Source organism: Homo sapiens, chromosome 5 (genome assembly GCF_000001405.40).
Source record: "Homo sapiens chromosome 5, GRCh38.p14 Primary Assembly".
Classification (NCBI taxonomy): Eukaryota; Metazoa; Chordata; class Mammalia; order Primates; family Hominidae; genus Homo; species Homo sapiens.
In genome coordinates, this window is record NC_000005.10 from 67,873,885 (window position 1) to 67,895,478 (window position 21,594).

A 21,594-nucleotide genomic window follows, 5' to 3' on the forward strand; every position below is an offset into this window, starting at 1 on the left:
TAGTTAACCAAGTTGGTCTTATTATTTGTTGTAGCCAGGGACAGCACACCATGGGAAATATGAGTGTCCCAGTAAGGTGTGAATAAGATCCTACAATAGGATTTGGGCTTTGGTTGAGTGATTTGAAACTTTAAGAAAGCAAGTGTTTGCTCTAGATTGGGTGCTGCTGGAAAGTGGATACCATTCTATGATTGGCTGTCTAAATAAGTTTTATCTATAAAGAGCAGAGACTAGCAAGAGGATAAGCTGTACTTGGTAAACAAGTGGCAGCCACTCATTGTGGCCAAGAGAGGATGTTTGGCAGTTTGTAGGCTGCACAATGACCTTATTTTTATCTGTGTTTAGATAAAATTATGAAGTAGACTTGCTTTGTCTCATTTCTCATGGTCTGCAACCTTGTTTAGGGTTGGTGTTCTGTGAGACTGTTTAGTAGGAGAATGGCATGGCCTACTGTGGGTGCTTTAAAATGTCAGGAACTGCCCTCCTCTTCCCATTTCCTATCCTGCCTGTTCCCCATGATGCTAATACTGCTAATACAGAGACTACCACACTTCGAGAACCACTGCCTAAGAGGATGAAGTGACCTGAGAACTACTGTTTGGAACAGGTGCAAAAGAAAAAATATACAAGTAAATACAATCTTGAAAAGCAAGGGAACAGAACTTCAAGACTAAAACAAAATAAGAATAACAGATCCTAGCAGACAATGTACCCTGGGCAAACTGAGTAGATTAATGTAATGCACAGCTTTAAATGGATGGGATATGGCTGGCATCATCTGGTCATACCCCTCCTCTCCAGCTCCCAGCTGCCTTTCTTAACCAACTTCCAATTAAGGCCTTTGTGCTTTCTATGTCCTTTGCCTAGAACTGGTGCATTTTTCACCTGCTTCTTACTCATTCTTTATGTCTCATTTAAAAACGTCTCTTCTTCCAATAGGCCTTCTCAAAACCCACTCCCTCTTAGTAAACTAACTTCCCTTTTAGTCACTATCATATTTTCTTTTTCTTTAATGCATCAATCATAATTTATCATTAGATATTTATTCTTATGATGGTTGATTCCATTTGTCTGTCACTTCCACTAAACTGTGAGCTCCCTGTGAGTAGGAACCATACCTATCTTGGTGACCACTGTCTCTTTCACTTTTAGAAGAACACTGGAAGGGAAGGACCCACTTCCTTCCTCCGCATGCATCGAATGTCCAGTGAGTCCCTATTTTCCTGTATCCAGTATAATACACACTAGATCTTTAAAAAATTCTCGATTGCTTTGGCTTACAATGACACTCTGTTTTTCATTGCTTTTATAAATCCCAAAAAACACTTTATATTTTTATTTTATTATTTCAATAAACATTACAAAGTATGTGATGGAAATCTATATACGCAATGAAACTTGAGTTTCACACCATAACAGACCATGATTTGTTATCAAGACCTCTTTGCCTTGATTCAATCTGATGGTTGCTCTTTTAGTTGTTGTTTCATGCTCACTATTAGAAAGCTAATAGGGACTAACATTAAATGAATTTTTTTCCTTTGGGCACTTCACTTGTTTGAGATATATTTCTTGGGTTTGTTGTTTCAATTAAGTGTTCTGACACACTTCTCTTAACCCTTCTTCTGGGGCTGGGCTTGATACAATAGCCTTCTTGGCTGTGAATCTGGGATGGGAGAAGATATTTCGCCAAGAATGGTATCCAGCAAGGTCTCAGGAGTTTTAAGCTTCAAGCTAAACTGTGTCCTGTTCAGATCTGGTTTAGTTGACTCCCTAATACTGAATTCAAATGACTCAAAATGCTCGTAAAATGGTAACAGAAGATTCTGTGTACATCAAACAGCTCTTACTGAACATCACTTTAATGAGTTCAGTGTAAATGAAACAGAAACATATGGATTCAATTGTCCTAAAAATACACAGGGCTTTAAAATAAAGGCAAATAAGGAAGTTCCATGGTGACATGTGTTTTAAGGTTTGCTGAACCAAAGATGTTGGAAAGCTCTCCAAAACGCTCATCAAGACTAAAATGCAACTGGCTTCACCCACTCCCTCATGTGTGGCCAATGACAAGTATGCCTACTCTTCCCTTGTACTCTCGAAGCAAATAGCTCTTTTCCTAAGATGGGGCCCAGCTCACTGTCATTAGTATATGCAGATGTGAACAAGTTCCATGCCCCCTCAGCCTCAGGAAACATGTGTTCCCCAAGCAAAGTGGGAAGAGGTACTTCCTCTTCTCTCCATCCCAATCCCTGTCCTATATTCTCTTCTAGAGTCTTGCCTCTTCTCTCTTCAGCACCAGAGGGGTGATCAGCTGGCATCCTAGGTGGAGCTCAGCTCCAACACAAGCCTGCCAGTCTCAAAAACTTGCACTGGGTTGACAGTGCCGATTCCTTCAGGCCACAGTACAGACTTTTGAGTATTCTTTAACTTTAGACTCTTGAAGCCAAGCATGCACACTGCTGTCACAGGAGCCTCTCCTTGGCTGTCCCTTGCCTTTCCAGTACCCATACTTGTACATGAGAAAAGGGCTTCCTTCTATAATTATCCACTGGACCAGAAGCTTCTTGGGTGGGAGAAGCAGGTAGACTATCATTTTGCCTCTAGTCTTGCTCTTCTTTTTTTACTTTTTGCATGAGCCTGGGCTTTATTTTCCTGTAGCATGTAATATATTTACCATGACAACACAAAAACAGTTCTGCTGCCTTTGTCTCAGACACTCATCAGAGAATCTTTTGGCCACATTCTGTAGGCTATAAAAAGTACTAACCCCAAAAAGCTTCAAACAAACCATAGTCCCTTCTTTTAAAGGGGTAAAATAGACATATGGGAATCTATAGAGGCTGCAAAGTATCTGTTTCCTCATGACTTTTCAGTTTCTCACAACTCCAGCAAGCAACTCTACCTTAGCCTAGACTGAGTGCTATAGTTTGGATGTTTGTCCCCTCCAAATCCCATGTTGAAATTTAATCACAAGTTTTGAAGGTGGGGACTAATGGGAGGTGTTTTGGTCACAGGGGCAGGTCCCTCATGAATGACTTGATGCTGTCCTTCTGGTAATGAGCAGGTTCTCACTCAACTAGTTCCCCGCAAGAGCTGGTTGTTAAAAAGAGCCTAGCACCCCACCTTTCTCTCTCGCTTCCTCTCTTGACATGTGACCTCTGCACATGTTAGTTCTTCTTCACCTTCTGCCACGAGTGGAAGTAGCCTGAAGCCCTTGCCAGAAGCCAATGCTTGTGCCATAGTTCACGTACAGCCTGCAAAACCATGAGCCAAATAAACCTCTTTTCTTCATAAATCATCTAGCCTCAGGTATTCCTTTATAGCAACACTAAACGTACTAAGACACCAAGGAACCAAGAGGTCTGTGTATAATGTGGTCCCTGGAGAAGCCTTTTGGTAAAGGTTCACTGGCTTTGCTTTTTCCCAGGTGAACAAACCAAAACAAGCAGAGGGTCTTCCCTTACCTAACTGAAGTGAATACCTAGAGGTAGTCAATGTACATTTGAACATTCTTATACAATTCGTTTTGCTTATGAGGATGGGTCAGTCATCTGATGTGAGAAAAATGTCTTTGATTTCTATAGTTTTTTTTCCCTTGATTTAATCTTTTATCCTTCTGCTCGACTATTTCTTTTTTCCTAATGTTTTGCGGCTTATTTTCAGAAATGTATTAAAATTTTACTTGAATCAAGAAGACTAAGCAAAAAGGAAAGTGTGTCAAGGTGTGAGACAAAGGATAAAATGCCAGTTCTGGTGAACAAGAGGACAGTTGTCACTCAGGGGAAGTCAAGAATGACATTTTGGTCCTGGGGTCCTGACCAGCTAGTAAGATCAGACCCATGCTCCAATTATGTCATAGATAACTATAAAAGGGATCTCGAATATATTTAAAAAGCAGAAGATGTTGACTTAACTGGGTTTCCTGGAGCTTCCTTGTCTCAGCTTCAGTCTTTGGTCAGCAAATAAAAGAGGGATTTGCATGATGGGAGTAAAGGGAAGCTCTGTCTATGGTGGCTAACTTTATGTGTCAACTTGACTGGGTCATAGGGTGCCCAGATCATTGGTAAAACACTATTTCTGGGTATAACTATAAGGGGTTTCCTCACATTTGAATCAGTAGACTGAGTAAGTCAGTTTGTCCTCCCCAGTGTGGGTAGGCATCATCCAATCCTTTGAGAACATGAATAGATCAAAAAAGGTGAAGGAAGAAAGAATTCACTCTCTGCCTGACAGCTTGAGCCAGGACTTTGGCCTTCTCCTTCCCCTGGACACCTGGTTCATTATCAGTGCTCCCAGGTCTCAGGCCTTCAGACTTGGACTAAAACTTACACCATCAGTTCTAGTTCACAGATCTTCAGACTCAGACCAGAACCTCACCACTGGTTTTCCTGGGTCTCCAACTTGCAGACAGCAGATCATGAACTTCAGCTTTCATAATTGCATCTCTCTCTCTCTCTCTCTCTCTCTCTCTCTCGGTGTGTGTGTGTGTGTGTATGTGTGTGTGTGTGTATCTATATCTATATCATCTATATCTGATCTATTCATTATATTTCTCTGGAGAACCATGACTAATACACTCTCTATCTAATACAAGTACATTGGAGAAAAGAATTAACGAAGAAACATTTATTATTAACATAACCTGATTCCTGCTAGCAAAGCAGGCTGAGATTTCCAGGAGTAAAATTCTGTCACACACACAAAATATGTCCAGAGTCTGCCTCTGTTACCTCTGTTACCATGTACTCCTAAGCTTTCCAAGGTCTCTAAAGATTTTCGGAGGACATTCACATAACCTGCATTTCCTTGTTATTTCCTGCCATTTTCTGTTGTTACTACTGTGGCAACTTCTTTCGCCCTCACCCCAGCCCCTCACCTCATTCTCCAGTTGTACATTAGGTTCATGGCCAATGACAAATTCAATTACTATGAAAAAAACGAAAAAATGAAATTCAATTTAGCCTGGCAAATGGTTAGATTCAAGACCATAAAACAAGCAATCTTGTGCATAGCCTTGAATACAATCTGAAAAAGCCCTAAAATGTTATTTTTATTACTATTTGAAGAATGACTAGACAAGATTGACCAGGGAACATTCTGGGCAGATTTCTTTCTTTGTTGATAGAGGGAAGGGGAGGTGACCTCATAAATTTGTTCTTTGACTATTTTTTTACAACTCTTTATAAGAAATTTGGCTTTGTAGGCTTTTACCCTAGGGGAAGCTGGTGTTCTTAGTGAGGAAATAGTTTATATCACCATGCAGCACTGTGAAATACTTGACTCAGTCAGGCTGCATACACAGTGAGAAAAAAAAAAAGACTCATTTTCTTAGTAAACACTGCTGTATTCATAACACTTTGCTTTAGCTCTCATGACATTTTGAGATATTGCTCTGCAGTTGCTGAACATAGGGGTAGAAGGGCGTCCTCCATCCTTTTGTTTCTTACTACTACCTCTCCCCGCTTCCCTTGACAAGATGAACAAACCAAGTTTCAGTGGCTGAAATCCTTGAAAACATCAAGTTACCTTTCCCAAGGTGAATAATTATCTATATAAAGAACATGTGGCTTTCATATCTATCATACTTTCTTTTGTCCTCTTTTTTAAACATCAGTTTAGCTCAATTCAAGCCTTTTCCTAGACTGCTTCTTTATACCAATAATTCACTGCTGGTTCTCTGACCAGTCCCCTGCTAATCCTTTCACTATATTGCAGTGTTTCTCTTCCTGAAGTCTTCTCAGTGTCCATAGCTCAAGAGGAAAGAACACATCAACAACTTGTAGACAGCCTAAACACACACAGGTGCGCAGGTATACACAGATAAATGTTTCTTCACACAAAGCAAATTAATTTTCAGCATTGAGACTCATGAGAGTTCACCCTAAGAGCTTTCACTGAGTGTGAGTCACAAGTAATCAGTCTTTGTGGCGTAACCTGTGAGTTAGTGAATTCTTACTGGTCTCAATGAAAAGCCTTCTTTGTCTATGTGGTTATTAATGGGACTGTAAAACTGCATGATAAGATAAAATGAAGCCCTAAAACCTTACATGTTTACCCCACTGCAAAACAGCTGTCCCATACCATCTCTCATGGCCAGATCTACAGTTTTAAGATCTGTGCACCACAGGTTAGCAAAAAAACCTGCTTTGTAAAGGACCACATTTTTCATCAGAGGACCAGCCACTTAACATAAAATTTGAAATCCTCAGTGATAAAAAAGACAGAAATGCAGAATATACCTCATTTCTGAGATCATTTGAAGTTTTGATAAGGTGATTTCTAAACATGGGCTCTAATTTTCTCTGACTACAAAGTGACATTCAGGTGTGAGATTCCATTTCCAGCGGTGAGTTCATCTTTTACTGCCTTTTATCAGCACGAATTATGGTGCAGCAGGTACTTACTTCTCTATAACAGCAGGGGTCAAGTAGATAATTAATGAGAATTAATCTGTAAAAAGAAATATAATGTCCTATTTGAATCTTGGTTTATGACTTGGTTTATTATGCAAGTGTGAAACTTCAAAGGGAGCTAACTCAATGTGGCACTTTAATTACATTTTATTATATTTAAGAGTTTTGTGGAAATTTTGCTTGCTGCCAAGAAATGTTTCTTAAGAACACTTTCTTTCCCAGTAGACTGCTGGGGCCCCTATTCCCAGAGTGGCTACAGAGGGGAGCCGCCAGCACCTTTCTCATATCAGAGAGAAGGTGCAAACAGCTGCGAGGTGGAACACTGGCCTAGGGTGTGGCCAAGGACAATTTCTCTCACAGAGGGTAAAACCACAGAACCCATGAGACTCCCTTTAAGACTTTTCAAAGGCAAACATTCCCAATGGCAAACTGGAAAGCTTGAGTTTAGAGATGGGTTTTTGGAAGACCAAATATGAGGTGTCAATCCTGTGGTGACCTCAGAGATGGCCACTTCCACCACTTGGGGGAAAAAAAAAACAGAGGGGGAAGCACATGCATCTCCTTTCATTGCAGCTTAAGTCAACTTAATTGTGCTGGATTTAAGAGTAAGGGAAGAGATCCTGTCTTTAATAGCTGCATTGTTTCCCTATCCGCTAATCTTTTGGAGGGCATAAAACTAAGGAAAAAGAATTCTAAGGTTAACATGAACCAGTGTCTGAATCCAGGGCAAAGGGCCAGGGTTCCTCCTATCTAATTCCAGCTCTGGTACTGACTTGTCTTATGGCCTTGGGCAAAGCCGCTTGGTCTCTGTGCTTGGTCTGCCCACTGCTAAAATGACAAGGATGATGCCATTTGTGCTGACCTCACTGGGACATTGTACAGACAAGTTGGAAGCTATTTTTTTTGTTGTTTAAAAAGAGTGTTAGGTTTATTTTATTAGATTTGAAGGATATGTTTCTGGTGATAGCAGACTGAAGGAATGCCCAGAAATAGAAAAGCTAAAGAATTGGTTGATTGATTTGGCATGATTAAAGGACAGAACAATGTGTCCAAAAGTGGTTCTGCAAAAAGTAAATGAAGGAATGCTATTTAAGAATAACTTTGTTGTGGGAGGAAACTGCCCTCAGGTTTGAATAGTTTGGTGTTTTCTTTTACTCTTACCAATGGGTTGGCCCCATTGTTTCATAAGTGGTAAAATCTAGGGGTCACCAGACTAATTTACTTCATTTGGAATGAAGGAAAGAGAAAAAAAAATACCATTTTCTCAAAGATATAATCAGTGTTGTGGAAAAGATAAAACATCGAGATTGAAAAATGGCTAGAAATTGAAGAGAATATTGGAATTTTCCAAGCGCTATTAAAATTTGTATTTACAGCACTGAAAGTTGACAGGGAAGAGGCAACCTCATATCTAATCTTGTGGGAGGATAGCCTGCACTGATTATTCATTTATTCATCCAACAAAGATGCACTGAGCACCTCCACCAAGACAGAGTTCCTGCCCTCAAAGAACTTAGAGTTTATTAGAAAAGTTACATGCATTAACAAATTACTGCAAGGTCCTATGATGAGTGTCATAGTAAAAACACATTATGGTTCTATGCTTATAGAGAGAAATGAAAGACATATTCAAAAAGTCTTTGGTAGTCAGGACTGACTCTACGTAGGGAGATGATGAAAGGATCATGATGTGCTTCTTAGACAAAGAGATGAGTAAGAGTTTACTTGGAATCAGCGGAGATGCAGCAAAGATGAGCGGAGGAATAAGCAGAGGGATCTGCATGTACAAAAGTATAGAGGCATCAAATAGTGTGATAAGTTCATAGAGCAGCTCCATGGAGTTGAGACTTAATGCTGGGAGAAAAAAGATGGCAGAAGAGGAAGCCAGAAAAGTCAGCAGGAGGCCATCAAGGAGGGAGAATAACTCTGCAATCAGCTCGTGTTTTTCTGCTTACTGCGTTGCATACTAGGGCAGGTTCCTCAGTTCCTAAGTAAAATGGGACTAATAATCATACCTACGTTGAAGGTTATTGTGAGGACCAATTGTTGAAGGTTATTGTGAGGACCAATTGAGATAACATGCGATTAGTATAGGTGAAGCAATTAGAACAGAGACTGGCATAAAATAACTTCTCAGTGAATGTGCATTTATTCTTACTCATATATTAATTGATGACATTTGTCTTTAAGTCTATAGGCAGAGAGCAGCCGTAAAAGTATCTTAAGAAAGGGTATGCTACGATAAGAGTTGCATGGAGAATGAAGAGGAAATAGGTTAAGGTAGGGAGTGTACTGAGGAAGGGAGGATTTAAGAATAGCTAAAAAGGGCCGGGCACAGTGGCTTACGCCTGTAATCTCAGTATTCAGGGAGGCTGAAGTGGGAGGATCACCTGAGGTCAGGAGTTCGAGACCAGCCTGGCCAACATGACAAAATCCCATCTCTACTAAAAATACAAACATTAGCCGGGCATGGTGGTGGGTGCCAGTAATCCCAGCTACTCGGGAGGCTGAGGCAGGAGAATTGCTTGAACCCGGGAGGCGGAGGTTGCAGTGAGCCAAGATGCTGCACTCCAGCCTGGAGACAGAGCAAGACTCTGTCTCAAAAAAAAATTTTTAAATAAAAAAATTTAAAAATAAAAAAAAAATAGCTGGGCCGGGCATGGTGACTCACGCCTGTAATCCCAGCACTTTGGGAAGCCGAGGCAGGAGGATTGCCTGAGCTCAGGAGTTCAAGACCAGCTTGGGCAAGACGGTGAAACCCCATCTCTACTAAAATAGAAAAAATTAGCCGGGCATGGCAGCATTCACCTGTAATCCCAGCTACTTGGGAGGCTGAGGCAGGAGAATCGTTTGAACCCGGGAGGCGGAGGTTGCAGTGAGCCAAAGTCATGCCACTGCACTCCAGCCTGGGTGACAGAGCAAGATTCCATCTCAAATAAATAAATAAATAAATAAATAAATAATAACTAAAGAGAAGAATTTATAGAATTCAGTGACGGAGATGGAGATGTTATAGGAGAGATTTCAGCCATCTCCCAGTTTTGGGACTTGGGTGACTGGGACAGGCAATGATAACATTAACCTGAGTATGAAAATGTAGAAGAAACAGGAAGTATAGTGGGAAAGTAATAAATTCCGTTTATTCACATGTGAAGTTTGAGGTATCCAGGAACATTCAGATCAGCCATTTTCTGGCAACCAGAATCAGGCCAGGATATCTGAAAAGAAGTCTGAAGACTAGACTAGACCACAATACAAATTTAGTCTCAGACTAAAAATAGAATTTTAGGAGCCTTTGGATTGGGTGAGATTATTTGTGGAAAAAGGCTAGGATGTTAGTCTGAGAAAGACTAGAAAGAGAAGTGTGAGGGAGCCAGGAAGACATGAGATTGCAGAAATCGAGGGAGAAGAGAAGATTCTGATTAACTTTGGAATCATTTTTTGACTCATTTTAAACCGCCTTTTTTATTTTGCCATCCCTTCTGTAGACCATCTCTAAGTCCTCCCATAAGGTGCCTGGACTCGTACAGCCATTTGTGGAACAAACATTAACTCTATCCTGCAACTTTTCACTCTTCCCACTACAGGATTATTTTGCACGTGATTTTCTTTAAAAACAACACAGAAGGTATGGAGTAATATTGAAAAGTCAGGCAAAAATTAAACATGAAATAACTTCTTTTTCGTACATTTTATTAACATATATTTGAATTATAATCAAGTATGTTTATGTGACTTTAAGAGTAATTAGAAATCCAGAATCACTAAAAGAGAGAGATTGTAAATTTTAATTTCTACATATATAAAAAAAATTCAGCATGAAAGTGATCACCATAAGTAAAACCAAAACTCAGAAAGGTATTTGCAGTTCGTATCAGAGATGAAGGACTACTCTCCCTTACACACAAAGAGCATCTAGAAATCATTGTGAAAAATGCCAGTAATAATAAAAAGGTATGGGCCTGAACAGTTTATGCACAGACAAAAGAAGATATTGGTTGCCCCCAAACAAATGAAAAGATGCTCAACCTCATTCATAATAAAAGAATGCAAATTAACACTGACATAGCATTTTATACTTACCAGTTTGGGGTAAAACACCCAAAACAGTATGTTGGGAAACAGACACTGTCTTACATCGCAGGTGAAAATATGAAACTGATATAACCAGAATAACCTTGAAGAAGGGGGATTTAATAAGATTTATCAAAATTACAGATGACTTTACCCCTAACTCAGAAGTCTCACTGCCTACAGATACTCCTGTACAAGTACAAAATGATATATAGGGAAAGTTATTCCTTGTGACATTGTTAATAGCTGAAGTTTGGAAACCACCCAAGTGACAGCAATAGGGTGTTTGGTTGAGTAAAGTATTGTACATCTTCAGAACATAGTAACATGCAGCCATAAAAAATTTAAAAATTAAAAATAAAGAATGAAACAGATTGCTAGGCCCTACGATGAAAAGTGGAGAGATCTCTAGGACACAGTACTTTAAAAATACAAGAGATAGAGGGTTATGTAGTATGCTACTGCTTGCGTGGGAAAATAAGGTGATAGGAACACATACATGTATTGGCTTATAATTACAAAAAGAAATATTTTGGAACATAACTTCCTGGTTGTGATTTCTTTATTTGGCAACATAAACAAATATTTAGCAAAATTTGTTACCTAGAGAGGATAAAGAAAAATGAGGTAAAGGGTATACTTTTAGTGGGATATTTTGTACACAAAAATTACAAATAAATTTTAGTAGTAATACTGGCACTGCTATTTTGAAATTATTTTCTTTATATTTCTTACATGAAACAAAGAAACTATGTAAATTTTAAGATTAAAGGTTTTTTTTTTAGCAAATTCCAGTTATAAAATCAAAGACGCTAAGTAAAAACAATATAATATTAAAAGTAAACTGAAAATATCAATATGAACTTTTAGTTTAAAAAATATGTTATTTGTTATCTAGCACTGAAGTTACCTAGAAAGAAGGTCACCTTGAGGCTTCCACACACCTCATGCCCAGAGTTTGAGTTTTAATATCATTGTCCCCTAAAGAAAATCAAATCCTTTAAGAAATATCTGATTTCTGCTTTGGGGCAGGGTGAGCACAGGATGATGGGCAAAGAAGCATTCACAGATTAATAAGTTCATATCAAATAGTATAGAATCCAGATGAAAGGGGCTCAAACTAACCAAAAACATAACAATTTGAGTGTCAAAAAGAATACTGTTTGTAACTGACATGAAATCTATGGAAATCTATCAGTCTACAACAGCACTCAAAGAGAAAGCAAAAAACAAAAAGAAAAGAAAAGAAAAAGTGGTCACCATTTGAGACTATTGAACCAAATCAGCTTTGACAATCAGTAATTTAAAGGAGAAAATTAAACATTCCTTCTGTCTTACGAAGAATTTTACTTAAAGTTTACTAAATAGTCCCAGTTGGAAAGAGAAAGCTCTACTTTACAGGAGAATGGCAACTAATGTATAGGAAAATAATAATAGATTTAGAAAATCATTGTGCAACTACAAATGGAAGTATTGATTCAGACACATCAACAATAATTGCTAATAAATAAGGATGGGTTTTCTCCATCTGCCATCAGTGTCCCCAAATCTTGATGATAAAATCATCAGGTGAATGGTTAATGTATTCGACTTCAGTACAGTGCCAAAAACAACGTTCCACACTATTCAAAGGGGAGAACTTAGCAATGGGAGGATCACATCAATGCTCAATTTAACATCTTTAATGGTGGGGGAGCCCATTTGAGATGGAATATGAAGTAAACCATGTCATGTGGAATGTTTTGCATCTCAAAAGGTTTAACTGTGATCTAATAAAGTCCTTCTGTTTTAAGGAAATGTAGGGGCTAGTGGGACAAGCTACATGATATCCTCAGAAAGTGATCAGAAGAATCATGGAGAAGGAATGACAACTGGCTGATGGGGGGCAGAGATAGAATGGAGACTTCCTCTCTACCTTTGCATAGATCCATGTGACTTATTACCTATTTAAAAATGAAATAAATTAATCAAATACTTTTTAAACAAGTGATTAGATATTATGCCTTGTAATTGTAATGGAAGAAAAATTATTCCAACTATAGTCAGATACTGATATTATTCTGCCATTTGTGAAAGAGGGTTGCTAATCAATAAGAATGTGGTTTTCCCATCTTCCATACTGTCTCAAAGTCTTGTTTATATAACTCAGCTCTAGCACTGTACTACTGAATGAAGAATGGCTTTTTGCCTAAATACAGTAGACACATTCCTCTTCCTCCCCTTACCCAGTTCACCACTGCCTAAGAACCCAATTCTGAAAGACAGGCACAAAATAAAGGAGCATGAGAAATCTCATGCCAGATGCCTCAGGAGAATATCAGAGGGCATAGGGTTTGGATATTGATGCTTAAGTTTCGGTTTCTCAAAAGGGCCCATAGGTGCTCTCCATAGCAGTTCAGGTTGGCCTCAACTAGTCTTGAAGCAAAAAGGCCTGGTAGATCTGCTTTCCTTTTGCTGCTTACTGGCATTAAACAACAATCAGTAAGCAGGCCCTTAAGCAGGCAGATTGTCCAAATGTAGAATTCAGGCAAGCTGCAAAGGGAAAATTCACCTACAGAGCAGAAGTCTGTGTCCCTGCCTTCTCCCAGGGGACGTGCTCTGAATGGCAATGTTTAGTGCCTCTGCTTCTGTGCATACATTAAAGGAATTAGATAGACCCAACCTTTTGTTTTCCTACTTCTTGCACATGGCAAATATTTAATTTTTAATTTATCAGATAGAAGTGACACATTCTTACTTAAATGCTAGGAAAGGGTCCTCAGAGTCCCTGAGAAAAAGGCAATGAGTGGCCTTCTTTGTAGTAATTTTCTTGGCCAAAATAAAGGACAATGGTGACCTAAGGAGCAACTCACTACCAGACAAAGAAGGGGATGGATTTAAAACTACCTTCCCTGGGAGGAGGGCTCTTTTCAGATCCATCACTAGGATCTCAGACCAAAGGGCTGGATGGGTAAGTGGGTAGAAATGGCTGATATTTACAGCACTCTGAATTAAATTCATCATCTGATTGATATTTGACCTGGTTAATCACTACTGGCCAATAGCAATATTTCCTTGAGTAAAGGAGAAATTATGCTCTTCTTAGAACTAAGGAGTTCAGGGAACCAGAGAGCATTTGAGCAAAGACCTTGGAAGAAATCCCAAGTGAAAGGTCCACGGCAATAAACAATTGCAAAGAAAAGAAGTGGAAGTTGGAAGACAAAGCCTGGAGGGCATCCTTAAAGGGATCAATGCCACACCAGAGTACATGGGTTTATGAGAAACATGCTTAAGCCATTCATTCCACAAATATTTGAGCATCTTCTAAGTGTTAGCCACCATGCTAGGAGCTAAAGATACAATGGTGAGAAGAAGCAGACACAATTCCAGCCTTGATAGAGTTGTGAGAGGAGATGGACATATGCTCATTCACAGCCCAAATGTCAAAATCACACCTCAGCTAAGTGCTACAAAGGGGAAGTGCTCAGTGCTATGGGGAGTACAGTGGAGATATTTATCTTACACAACGTCAGAGAAGGTTTCTCAAGAAAGTGACATTCAAGCTGAGTCTTGAAGTAGAGGTGGGGCAAAATTCAAGTCAGCCAGAATAATATATGCAAAAGTCCAGAGGTGAAAATACCAGGATTTATTCAAGGGACAGAAAAAAAGACCACAGTGCAAGAGGGCCTGCCATAAGATAAGCTAGTCTTTACTAAGAGCAATGATTCTTTATTTGGCAATGAAACTGGCTGTATTCCAAACATTTCCTCCCTATAAGCTAATCCAAGGATTGTATTATACTAACTGTATACTAGGTTAGGAAGCCCACAGTCCACAGATAACAAAATTTGAGAATGTGTTTGTTAATTGTTCAACAAAAATTAGTTGACTATTACTAGGCTTTGAGCTAAGAGCTGGAGTTTTAAGTTACTTATATTTCTTTAGGTCACATAGTTGATTTTTGTTGGGCCCATGTTAGTAAAGTGTATCATCTGCTTATATACTCTGATCAATCACTTAATTTTGAGACAAGATCCACCAGAAAAAGGAAGCTTTCTTAAGAACAGAAGTATTGGATGTTATGAGTTATGGGATTCGACTTTGCCAAGATGTTTTCTCCAGTTCCTTGAGATTCCTCAACATGGATTCACAGTCAAATATAACCCGACCTTAAAAGAGAAACCATCATTTCTTCCTTATATAACCCATCCAATAGTCTGTGGGGCACTTCCTCAACTCTCAAGCCAGGCTTATTTTTCCAAAGATGTTGCCACTGGACTTTAAAATCTAGAATCCACAGTAGGAATGACTAGATTTTTAAGCCAAAGTATTCTCTACTGATGAGAGTCCAACTCTATTGTATCCTACTGAGAATATTATTCAGAATAAGATCCTTCGATGGCTTTGTTGCTCTCTATTCAGCCTTTTACTCAAGGCAGAAATAGTCTGGCCCCAAAATGTTCAGTCCTGGAAGAATTTCAACTTGGTAATGGTTTATCAATATCACAATGAGAACCAGAGTGAGTAAAACAGATTTATGACAGATGTAATTCTAATTCCAAATTGGTAAACCATGACTGTGCCCTGTTTCTATTTTGACTTATAATTGATTAATTTCTTAGATAAATTGGGTGGGTGCTGCAACCTGCTTTAGCAAATAAGAAGATCAGTATCATTTAGGTGGTTTGGCTTTGCTGTGCAGTTATCACATTTCTGTCTGCCAGTTTTTCCCAGTTTGCTTACATCCATGGAATGTTGACATAGAGTTTTCAGAAAATTCCATAGCCCTTAGAACTTAAAAGTTACCTGGTTTACATGGCAAATTTAGTCCATTTTTCTTCCATCTTTATCTTGGGTTATACTTTATCAAATTATTGCCTGAGATTGTATTATATTTTAATGGTGCTTCCCTGTTAATTTGTCTGCATTAATCTGGCATATTAATACAACTACCTCTTTGTTTCTATTTGTCCCTTTCACTGTAAAGACTAGAACAGGGTGCAAAATGGCCCCTGTTCTAGCATTTTAAAGTCCACTGGGGAAGAAAAATTAATGCACACAAACCAAGTACAGGGTTACCCTTGTGTTGGTTAGGACCTTACTGTTCTTAGAGATTTCACTGTGCTTGCCTTGAGGTTCCCAAAGGAAGATTCTCCCTTATTCTTCTCTCTGTATCCACATTCCTATATTTCCCCTTTTTTTCTACTGCTGTATTAGCCCCTTCTCACATGGCTAAAAAAAGACATACCTGGGGGGAGGAGCCAAGATGGCCGAATAGGAACAGCTCAGGTCTACAGCTCCCAGCGTGAGCGACGCAGAAGATGGGTGATTTCTGCATTTCCATCTGAGGTACCGGGTTCATCTCACTAGGGAGTGCCAGACAGTGGGCGCAGGTCAGTGGGTGCACGCACCATGCGCGAGCCGAAGCAGGGCGAGGCATTGCCTCATTTGGGAAGCGCAAGGGGTCAGCGAGTTCCCTTTCTGAGTCAAAGAAAGGGGTGACAGACGGCACCTGGAAAATCGGGTCACTCCCACCCGAATACTGCGCTTTTCCGACGGGCTTAAAAAACGGCGCACCACGAAATTACATCCCACACCTGGCTCGGAGGGTCCTACGCCCACGGAGTCTCGCTGATTGCTAGCACAGCAGTCTGAGATCAAACTGCAAGGCAGCAGCGAGGCTGGGGGAGGGGCGCCCGCCATTGCCCAGGCTTGCTTAGGTAAACAAAGCTGCTGGGAAGCTCCAACTGGGTGGAGCCCACCACAGCTCAGGGAGGCCTGCCTGCCTCTGTAGGCTCCACCTCTGGGGGCAGGGCACAGGCAAACAAAAAGACAGCAGTAACCTCTGCAGACTTAAATGTCCCTGTCTGACAGCTTTGAAGAGAGCAGTGGTTCTCCCAGCACACAGCTGGAGATCTGAGAACGGGCAGACTGCCTCCTCAAGTGGGTCCCTGACCCCTGACCCCCGAGCAGCCTAACTGGGAGGCACCCCCCAGCAGGGGCACACTGACACCTCACACGGCAGGGTACTCCAACAGACCTGCGGCTGAGGGTCCTGTCTGTTAGAAGGAAAACTAACAAACAGAAAGGACATCCACACCAAAAACCCATCTGTACATCACCATCATCAAAGACCAAAAGTAGATAAAATCACAAAGATGGGGAAAAAAACAGAACAGAAAAACTGGAAACTCTAAAACGCAGAGCACCTCTCCTCCTCCAAAGAAACGCAGTTCCTCACCAGCAACGGAACAAAGGTGGATGGAGCATGACTTTGACGAGCTGAGAGAAGAAGGCTTCAGACGATCAAATTACTCTGAGCTACGGGAGGACATTCAAACCAAAGGCAAAGAAGTTGAAAACTTTGAAAAAAATTTAGAAGAATGTATAACTAGAATAACCAATACAGAGAAGTGCTTAAAGGAGCTGATGGAGCTGAAAACCAAGGCTCGAGAACTACGTGAAGAATGCAGAAGCCTCAGAAGCTGATGCGATCAACTGGAAGAAAGGGTATCAGCAATGGAAGATGAAATGAAGCGAGAAAGGAAGTTTAGAGAAAAAAGAGTAAAAAGAAATGAGCAAAGCCTCCAAGAAATATGGGACTATGTGAAAAGACCAAATCTACGTCTGATTGGTGTACCTGAAAGTGATGGGGAGAATGGAACCAAGTTGGAAAACACTCTGCAGGATATTATCCAGGAGAACTTCCCCAATCTAGCAAGGCAGGCCAACGTTCAGATTCAGGAAATACAGAGAACGCCACAAAGATACTCCTCGAGAAGAGCAACTCCAAGACACATAATTGTCAGATTCACCAAAGTTGAAATGAAGGAAAAAATGTTAAGGGCAGCCAGAGAGAAAGGTTGGGTTACCCTCAAAGGGAAGCCCATCAGACTAACAGCGGATCTCTCGGCAGAAACCCTACAAGCCAGAAGACAGTGGGGACCAATATTCAACATTCTTAAAGAAAAGAATTTTCAACCCAGAATTTCATATCCAGCCAAACTAAGCTTCATAAGTGAAGGAGAAATAAAATACTTTACAGACAAGCAAATGCTGAGAGATTTTGTCACCACCAGGCCTGCCCTAAAAGAGCTCCTGAAGGAAGCGCTAAACATGGAAAGGAACAACCGGTACCAGCCGCTGCAAAATCATGCCAAAATGTAAAGACCATCAAGACTCGGAAGAAACTGCATCAACTAACGAGCAAAATCACCAGCTAACATCATAATGACAGGATCAAATTCACACATAACAATATTAACTTTAAATGTAAATGGATTAAATGCTCCAATTAAAGGACACAGACTGGCAAATTGGATAAAGAGTCAAGACCCATCAGTGTGCTGTATTCAGGAAACCCATCTCACGTGCAGAGACACACATAGGCTCAAAATAAAGGGATGGAGGAAGATCTACCAAGCAAATGGAACACAAAAAAAGGCAGGGGTTGTAATCATAGTCTCTGATAAAACAGACTTTAAACCAACAAAGATCAAAAGAGACAAAAAAGGCCATTTCATAAAGGTAAAGGGATCAATTCAACAAGAAGAGCTAACTATCCTAAATATATATGCACCCAATGCAGGAGCCTGCAGATTCATAAAGCAAGTCCTGAGCGACCTACAAAGAGACTTAGACTCCCACACATTAATAATGGGAGACTTTAACACCCCACTGTCAACATTAGACAGATAAACGAGACAGAAAATCAACAAGGATACCCAGGAATTGAACTCAGCTCTGCACCAAGCAGACCTAATAGACATCTACAGAACTCTCCACCCCAAATCAACAGAATATACATTTTTTTCAGCACCACACCACACCTATTCCAAAATTGACCACATACTTGGAAGTAAAGCTCTCCTCAGCAAATGTAAAAGAACAGAGATTATAACAAACTATCTCTCAGACCACAGTGAAATCAAACTACATCTCAGGATTAAGAATCTCATTCAAAACAGCTCAACTACATGGAAACTGAACAACCTGCTCCTGAATGACTACTGGATACATAACGAAATGAAGGCAGAAATAAAGATGTTCTTTGAAACCAACGAGAACAAAGACACAACATACCAGAATCTCTGGGATGCATTCAAAGCAGTGTGTAGAGGGAAATTTATAGCACTAAATGCCCACAAGAGAAAGCAGGAAAGATCCAAAATTGACACCCTAACATCACAATTAAAAGAACTAGAAAAGCAAGAGCAAACACATTCAAAAGCTAGCAGAAGGCAAGAAATAACTAAAATCAGAGCAGAACTGAAGGAAATAGAGACACAAAAAACCCTTCAAAAAATTAATGAATCCAGGAGCTGGTTTTTTGAAAGGATCAACAAAATTGATAGACTGCTAGCAAGACTAATAAAGAAAAAAAGAGAGAAGAATCAAATAGACACAATAAAAAATGATAAAGGGGATATCACCACCGATCCCACAGAAATACAAACTACCATCAGAGAATACTACAAACACCTCTACTCAAATAAACTTGAAAATCTAGAAGAAATGGATAAATTCCTGGACACATACACTCTCCCAAGACTAAACCAGGAAGAAGTTGAATCTCTGAATAGACCAATAACAGGAGCTGAAATTGTGGCAATAATCAATAGTTTACCAACCAAAAAGAGTCCAGCACCAGATGGATTCACAGCCGAATTCTACCAGAGGTACAAGGAGGAACTGGTACCATTCCTTCTGAAACTATTCCAATCAATAGAAAAAGAGGGAATCCTCCCTAACTCATTTTATGAGGCCAGCATCATTCTGATACCAAAGCCGGGCAGAGACACAGCCAAAAAAGAGAATTTTAGACCAATATCCTTGATGAACATTGATGCAAAAATCCTCAATAAAATACTGGCAAAACGATTCCAGCAGCGCATCAAAAAGCTTTTCCACCATGATCAAGTGGGCTTCATCCCTGGGATGCAAGGCTGGTTCAATATACGCAAATCAATAAATGTAATCCAGCATATAAACAGAGCCAAAGACAAAAAACACATGATTATCTCAATAGATGCAGAAAAAGCCTTTGACAAAATTCAACAACCCTTCATGCTAAAAACTCTCAATAAATTAGGTATTGATGGGACGTATTTCAAAATAATAAGAGCTATCTATGACAAACCCACAGCCAATATCATACTGAATGGGCAAAAACCGGAAGAATTCCCTTTGAAAACTGGCACAAGACATGGATGCCCTCTCTCACCACTCCTATTCAAAATAGTGTTGGAAGTTCTGGCCAGGGCATTTAGGCAGGAGAAGGAGATAAAGGGTACTCAATTAGGAAAAGAGGAAGTCAAATTGTCCCTCTTTGCAGACGACGTGATTGTATATCTAGAAAACCCCATTGTCTCAGCCCAAAATCTCCTTAAGCTGATAAGCAACTTCAGCAAAGTCTCAGGATACAAAATCAATGTACAAAAATCACAAGCATTCTTATACACCAACAACAGACAAACAGAGAGCCAAATCATGAGTGAACTCCCATTCACAATTGCTTCAAAGAGAATAAAATACCTAGGAATCCAATTTACAAGGGATGTGAAGGACCTCTTCAAGGAGAACTACAAACCACTGCTCAAGGAAATAAAAGAGGATACAAACAAATGGAAGAACATTCCATGCTCATGGGTAGGAAGAATCAATATCGTGAAAATGACCATACTGCCCAAGGTAATTTCAGATTCAATGCCATCCCCATCAAGCTACCAATGACTTTCTTCACAGAATTGGAAAAAACTACTTTAAAGTTCATATGGAACCAAAAAAGAGCCCGCATTGCCAAGTCAATCCTAAGCCAAAAGAACAAAGCTGGAGGCATCACACTACCTGACTTCAAACTGTACTACAAGCCTACAGTAACCAAAACAGCATGGTACTGGTAGCAAAACAGAGATATAGATCAATGGAACAGAACAGAGCCCTCAGAAATAATGCCGCATATCTACAACTATCTGATCTTTGACAAACCTGAGAAAAACAAGCAATGGGGAAAGGATTCCCTATTTAATAAATGGTGCTGGGAAAACTGGCTAGCCATATGTAGAAAGCTGAAACTGGATGCCTTCCTTACACCTTATACAAAAATCAATTCAAGATGGATTAAAGACTTAAACGTTAGACCTAAAACCATAAAAACCCTAGAAGAAAACCTAGGCAATACCATTCAGGACATAGGCATGGGCAAGGACTTCATGTCTAAAACACCAAAAGCAATGGCAACAAAAGCCAAAATTGACAAATGGGATCTAATTCAACTAAAGAGCTTCTGCACAGCAAAAGAAACTACCATCAGAGTGAACAGGAAACCTACAAAATGGGAGAAAATTTTCGCAACCTACTCATCTGACAAAGGGCTAATATCCAGAATCTACAATGAACTCAAACAAATTTACAAGAAAAAAACAAACAACCCCATCAAAAAGTGGGCGAAGGACATGAACAGACACTTCTCAAAAGAAGACATTTATGCAGCCAAAAAACACATGAAAAAATGCTCATCATCACTGGCCATCAGAGAAATGCAAATCAAAATCACAATGAGATACCATCTCACACCAGTTAGAATGGCAATCATTAAAAAGTCAGGAAACAACAGGTGCTGGAGAGGATGTGGAGAAATAGGAACACTTTTACACTGTTGGTGGAACTGTAAACTAGTTTAACCATTGTGGAAGTCAGTGTGGCGATTCCTCAGGGATCTAGAACTAGAAATACCATTTGACCCAGCCATCCCATTACTGGGTATATACCCAAAGGACTATAAATCATGCTGCTATAAAGACACATGCACACATATGTTTATTGCGGCATTATTCACAGTAGCAAAGAGTTGGAACCAACCCAAATGTCCAACAGTGATAGACTGGATTAAGAAAACGTGGCACATATACACCATGGAATACTATGCAGCCATAAAAAATGATGAGTTCATGTTTTTTGTAGGGACATGGATGAAATTGGAAATCATCATTCTCAGTAAACTATGGCAAGAACAAAAAACCAAACACCGCATATTCTCACTCATAGGTGGGAATTGAACAATGAGATCACATGGACACAGGAAGGGGTATATCACACTCTGGGGACTGTGGTGGGGTGGAGGGAG

General features: G+C 39.8%; 2 annotated features.

Annotated features, from left to right (window-relative positions):
* Positions 15,432–16,003: an enhancer, noted in NCBI's record as "H3K27ac-H3K4me1 hESC enhancer chr5:67185144-67185715 (GRCh37/hg19 assembly coordinates)". NCBI's record gives its function as "activates a minimal SCP1, AML or CMV promoter by ChIP-STARR-seq in naive H9 embryonic stem cells {active_cell/tissue: H9 hESC(naive)}" and the evidence as "EXISTENCE:reporter gene assay evidence [ECO:0000049][PMID:30033119]".
* Positions 16,004–16,574: an enhancer, noted in NCBI's record as "H3K27ac-H3K4me1 hESC enhancer chr5:67185716-67186286 (GRCh37/hg19 assembly coordinates)". NCBI's record gives its function as "activates a minimal SCP1, AML or CMV promoter by ChIP-STARR-seq in naive and primed H9 embryonic stem cells {active_cell/tissue: H9 hESC(naive and primed)}" and the evidence as "EXISTENCE:reporter gene assay evidence [ECO:0000049][PMID:30033119]".